Source organism: Homo sapiens, chromosome 4, assembly GCF_000001405.40.
Source record: "Homo sapiens chromosome 4, GRCh38.p14 Primary Assembly".
Taxonomy (NCBI): domain Eukaryota; kingdom Metazoa; phylum Chordata; class Mammalia; order Primates; family Hominidae; genus Homo; species Homo sapiens.
Window position 1 is genome coordinate 152040753 of NC_000004.12, and position 6239 is coordinate 152046991.

Sequence of the window (6239 nt, forward strand, 5' to 3'; positions counted from 1 at the left end):
GTTTATTCTGCGTGACCTTAGGTAGGTTATTTAACCTCTCTGTGCCTCCATTTCCAAAATGAGAATAATATTAATAGAAGAGCTTTTCATAAGGCATGTGAGGATTACATGAGTTAGCACATGTAAAAAAACATAAAACATGCCTGGCATATCCCAAAGGTGTGGTAAACAGGAGCTCACACCATGAGTGATTGAGGACTATGTGCTCAATGAGTGAATCCCATCCTTTCTGTAAGGGGCAGTCAGTAGTAGTAGGAAGAGTGTGGGTTTTAAGGAAAGACCTGAGTTTGCATATCACCTCCAGTTTGTGTTTAACTTTAAATAAATTCTAGACTTCCCATACCCTCAGTGTCCTCATCTGTTAAATGGGAACACTTTCTCTACCTTCGAGGCTGACTGTGAGGACTAAATGGAAGTATGTATTTTAAAGGCTCAACACAGTGCCTAGCACATAATCAGCTTCTGAACATGTGAGCTCCTGACACAGCCCAGCTCAAAACAGGAGCCAGGGTCTCCCCAGGGTTTTTAGAGGCAAGCACTGTTTCATTTATTCCTAGTGTTTGCTTTATTGCTGCCAACCTAGTCTTCACAGTTCCTGGGGTTTGGGTCATCAAAGCCATTTTAAAAGTCTCTATTTTCCTCCAGCGTCTCCCTCCTGGTGGAGAGATGCCTGCCACCTGCTCGGGTAGCCTGTGTGTTTTTGGGTCACACTGCAGGTTTCCAGTGCCTTGGTTGCTTTGCTCTTTTACAAACCAACCACCAAGAGCCCTTTCACTTCCCCACCGCCCCCACCCACCAGCTACAGTCCATCTTACCTTTACTACTGAGACAAAATTGGTCCTCTTAAAATCATCAGGGGCCTGTTCTCTGTCTTCCTCTGTTTGCCTCTGTGGAGGGCTGGACACTGCGGAGCAATCCTTCTTTCCTTTCCTGGAACTGTTTTCGGCAGTAGCTTCTCTTTTTACTGCTACTTTGTTGCCTCCTCTTTTTCCAGGATCTGGCCGTCTCCCCCACCCTAAAATCCCCTCCCTGCATGCCCTATCCCACTCCTACCTCCCCAGGCCAGACTTCAGGGCAAGCTAAAGTCCCATCATCCTCACAAAGACTTCCAGAACTCTCGAGGTTCCAGAGAGCACTCTCCTCTGAATTTCAAAAGACTGGCCTGGCATATTGCTCATTACGACCTTGGAAAGACAGAGGCTACCTGTGTTTTCTGTGCATGATGCTTCTCTATTCCTCGAGGTTTGCAAGCTCCTCGAGGGCAGGCACAGAACTTTCTGTATGAGAAGGGCTCTGTCAACATTGTTGATATATTACGAGTCGCTCCCATTTACTGAGTGAGGCTGGGATGTGTATGTATCTATATGTCTATCTGTCTGTGTATATATCTATGTATCTATGTATATATCTATCTGTCATCTATTTATCTAGTTACAATTATCTATCAATCATCCATCTATCTTATCTGGTCATCACAACATTCCATGAAGTAGCTATTACTACGTTAATTGTATACTTGAAGAAACTGAAGGTCAGAGAGAAAAAAAAGAACCTGAGCAAGACCAAACAGCTAGAAAGAAAGAGGGCCCAGGATCATAATTTTAGCATGCTTCCAAGCCCTATGCACTAAATAAGTAGCCTCTAAACTTTCTGTATCGGGCATCCCTTTCAGAAAATATATGTCTTTGTTTGCCATTTCTAACTTATATGTATTTACCATATTATTAATATATTAAGTGCATTATAAAACATAAACTACAAAAAATAGAAATTAAAGGATAATACCCTAAATATAGATTGTGGTCTCTCACTAAAAGAAACTAGGTCTTGGGAGAAGTGTCTAATTTTTAGTCTGGGAAGTGCACCTGGAACATTTTGTCATACAGAAAGCCAGGAATCTATCAATTATTATTGGGTCCTGTCAAAAGGATGTGGGAACCAACCTGAAGAGGTTTCCATTGGCTAAACATGGGACATTTTGAGCAAACTGCGATTGATTAAACCACATTTTAGGGGTGTGTGTGTGTGTGTGTGTGTATTTTTTTCAAATTTATATGCTTATTATGATACTAAAAAGATACCTTGGTGATCACTTTTAGAGAATACTAGATGACCAACTAATTACTTTGAAAACTGGTAAAGAAAAAGAAGCATTTGTTCTGCCCTTCCTGTAAGAATTGTGTCCCTGGATTAGCAAATAGACGATGAGAAGATTCTCTTAAAGAAGTATTCCAACTAATAAGTGAAGACACATAGATAGAATGAGGATACCATAGGACACCACACTTTGTAAGTGGTAGTGAACAAGGTATTTGATAATGATTGCTATCACAAAAAAAGAGACAAGCAGACATTACGTTCCCCCAACAGATGTCCATAACACCAATTGCAAAATGTTCTTGTCAGAAAGATTTAATATGAACCTGATGGAGCCTCTTGATTTCCCATTTACAGAAAGTACAGGGGATGGAGGCACATGATAAATGATACCATGGGAACATAATCAGCAGAATCTAGCCTGTAGATTAACCAAGAAAAGCAACCCAAGTTTTTCAACCAAAAAAAAAAAATTTGCAAAAATAGAGAATGAGAGATTGAGAGAGGGAGCAATAGATTAAAAGAGACCTGAGGGACATATTTATGTATCACAATGTGTGGACTTTGTTTGGATCCCAACTCAAACTGTAAAAAAAATTTTTAGGAAAATCAAGGAAATATGAGCACTGATTGGATATTCAGTTATATTGTGGGCTAATTATTGATGTTTTTGGACTATAATGATGTTGTGGTTCAAGTTTTAGAAAGAGAGGGCATGTTTTTTAGGCCCATATATTGAAATATTTACAGATGTAATGAGTTAGTGTTTGCTGTCTTAGATAACAAAATAAAGGAGCAGGGGGGACAAGTAGGTGGGTAAATAGGGGAAATAAGACTGGCCTTGGAGTTGGTAATTTTTGAAGTTGAATGGTGGGAACATGGGTATATGGGAGGTTCATTATATGGTTCTACTTTTATATACATTTAAACTTTTAACAAAAAAATGGTTTTGTAATGATGATATTACAGTAAATATAAAGAGTTTTAATCTTTCGTTTCTTCCTCCTTCCCTTCCTCCTTCTTCCTTTCCTTTCTTCCTCACCCTTTCCTTCCCCTCCCCTCCCCTTCCAATTCCTTCTTTCCTCTTCTTTCTTCCCGTGGGTTGTTCGGAGGTGGTGCCCTTGAGGATGCCCCACTTTGGGGACCTTTGCTCTCGTCCCCTATGCAGCATCACCTCTCAACCTGGGGCCCGGGGAGGCTTGACCATGAGAAGTGTCTCTTCCATCCAGGAACCAAGGTCTGCACTGCATCTCCAAGCCTGCAGAGAAATGATGTGTGACAGCCCGCCTTGACAAATCAGCACTGCTTACAGCCCTGCCACCAGAATGCCTTCACTCTGTCCAACTTGAATTCCCTTTAAAGCAATGGAAGGAATCTGCTTTCCAAGATCCCTTCAGAAGGAAAGATTTGCATTGTTTAAAGGAGAATAAAAATCAGATGTCTAAGAAAAAGGAAAAAGACAAAGTCTCCTTTCAAGAAGTAACAACTCTGCCAGCTTACTCAGGTCATGAAATAATGCTGTTGGCAATGACTTTGGGGTGTTCTGTCACAGTCTCAGTACACTTTCTCCCCCCTGGGCAGTATTTTATAGTTACTGCTTCTACGCCCCATTGGCTCAGACATAATTTATTATTTGTTTACATGTTTCACTTACTCTGCTAAGGTGGAAGTCCGGTGATGCATTATTACTGACAGCATCAGTGTGTGTGTGTGTGTGTCTGTGTGTGTCTATTTGTGTGTCATTGAAAGACTCAAGGAGATCTGACGGGTTCTGAACCTGCAAGTTTTCAGAGCACAAGTGGCCCCCCCAGGTCTACAAGAGCCTCCCTGGGCTCTTGGCTCAGATCAAATGTGTCCTATGTCCCTGTAGTTAGTTCCTTCTACTTCTCTGAGGACCAAGACAATTCCAGGAAGACACAGGCTCCCCGGGACTGTGACTTTCTATTCTCTCCTTTGACTTGTCTTCCTGTGTAGTGATCAAAGTCCTCCCATTTCTGGGGGGAACGTCACAGTTTACACAGCACTTTCTTCACGACAATAGCATGAAGAAAATAATACCTGCCCTTTATCTCCACATGAGACACAGACAGGTCAAGGACGTGTGCAAGTTCAAAGAGCAAGAGTGGAATCCAGCCCGAACCAGCACCCCATGATGGAAGGGGAATGACCGTGGCTGGCCCAGTCACTTACAGCTCTTTGACCAGGGGCAGCTCACGAAAAGCTCAGGTTCTTCACCTGCTAAAAGATGGCAGTGATAGTGCTTACTGCACAGGGCTGTTTTAGAAATAAAATAGATTTCTAAAAGTGCTCAGCAAAATGACTAGCATGTAATAAACGTGCAATAAATGCTACCAACATTAATGGTCTTTTCAAAGCATTGTGTTTACAAAAGCTTTAGGGCTTATAATAAGAACGGTAGTAGGTGACTCTTTTGTAATATAATAATAATAATGATAATAATAAAATAATAGGTGGCTTACAGGCACCATTTGAATTCCCCTATGTGCATTAACCCTTTCATGTGTCATTAAGTCCTTTATGCATTTTTGTCACAACAAACCTATGTGGTAGGTAGCATTAGTACTCCTATATTAGGGATGAAGGACACAGAGGGTAGTTAGGTTTAAGTAACCTGGCCTTTTACAAAGAATTAGCCCGCATCTGAAGTGTTTCTCTGCTCTTTACTGTCCTCATTCAGGGAGCATGGGACCGTGACCCCCCCATGCATCAGCACCTGCTGAGAACTCAACAACCTCCGTAGCTTCCGCTCCCTGGCTTCCCCCTCTAGCAGTAAAGTTCATGATTTTATGTATCAGGTGCTCTTAGGGAGAGGAAACCACGGCCCAGAGGGATTAGCGACTTGCCCAAATCCACGTGGGGAGCTGGATTTAGAGCCGGCCTGAGGATCAAGTCTGTGTTCTCACTCTCCCTTCCGTGTCCCCGGGATGCTGTAAGAATGCACAGGGCCTTGGGACCTCGGTCCTCCCTGCTGCCTGCAGCCCCAGGGCTTTAGCAGGCTTGGACTCCCGCGCGGAGCCGCTGCAGCCGTCGGGGCCAGAGGGACAGGAACGTTCAATAGGGGGCGCCTGAGAGCCCAGGTGGGCGCTGAGCTCCTGGCTTCCCTCCCTCCGGGCCCAGCCGACAGGGAGGGGTTAGGAATTTAATCCTCCGCATTCCAGCCAGGGTTCCTGTGACATAATGAGGCCCAAGGAGGGATCTCGAGTGACTTGTCAGCAGAACCCCCAAAGGGATTTTCTATAGATAGCCAGGGCGTGTCTCGGGCTCGGTTCTCTGCGGCAGGAAAGTTCTTTAATGCCTGGGCTGGGCAACGCCGTGCGCAGCAGGTGGGTCGGGTGAGGCCCGCCAGGCGCTGGGCCCAGAGGACTCCGCGACGCTAGGAAATGTGTGGCAGCCGGGGAGGGGACGCAAGGAGCCCGGGCCAGGAGAGGGAATTCCAACTATGGCGTTTTGGAGAAAACTATTTAGTTATTTGCCCTCGCTGACCCCACCCCACGTTGGGACTGCGGCTGCAAGGAGAGGTCCCAAATACTGAGCCTGACACAGCCTTTGATGCTGGCTCTGGAAAGATTCTGTGGCATGAACCTGGCTCTCTTTGGAGAGACAGACGTGTTTGGAATGTTGGTGTCTGGAGTGCTGTGATTGGAGGCTTGAGGTTTCAGAGTTCCTTAATTTGCATGGCCATGCACCAAGGTTATTATTTTCCACAACAGAGGATTGAAATTTGAAACTCTGTTTACCTTCCAGATTCCAAACAAGCAACATTCCTATCAATAATGTCACGTAAATAACGGCATGATAGCCGAGAATCCTGTCATTAGTAATGTATATATATATATATATATATTTTTCATTCTGTTTGCTGGTGGAAAGGGATTCTCAGAAGCTATGCATATATTTTACATAAAATAATAGCTAAGCCGCCAAGGGCTTTAACGATATAATTTCATCATGGGATTCTGGGCTCTTTGGTTTATGCTGCCATCAGAACCCCAAGACAGAATTAATTCATGTAACTGGGACAAGCCCAAATGCTGTTTTCCCGTTCCCCTTATAAGTGAACTCAACTATTTTAATTGGCCAAACATTTGGTGGGTAGGGTATAGGGTGGAGAAAAGCCTGTC

At 43.9% G+C, this 6239-nt stretch overlaps 3 annotated features.

Annotated features, from left to right (window-relative positions):
- Positions 730-809: a silencer, noted in NCBI's record as "silent region_15749". NCBI's record gives its function as "represses an Ori minimal core promoter by ATAC-STARR-seq in GM12878 lymphoblastoid cells {active_cell/tissue: GM12878}" and the evidence as "EXISTENCE:reporter gene assay evidence [ECO:0000049][PMID:35858748]".
- Positions 4879-4928: an enhancer, noted in NCBI's record as "active region_22026". NCBI's record gives its function as "activates an Ori minimal core promoter by ATAC-STARR-seq in GM12878 lymphoblastoid cells {active_cell/tissue: GM12878}" and the evidence as "EXISTENCE:reporter gene assay evidence [ECO:0000049][PMID:35858748]".
- Positions 5049-5128: an enhancer, noted in NCBI's record as "active region_22027". NCBI's record gives its function as "activates an Ori minimal core promoter by ATAC-STARR-seq in GM12878 lymphoblastoid cells {active_cell/tissue: GM12878}" and the evidence as "EXISTENCE:reporter gene assay evidence [ECO:0000049][PMID:35858748]".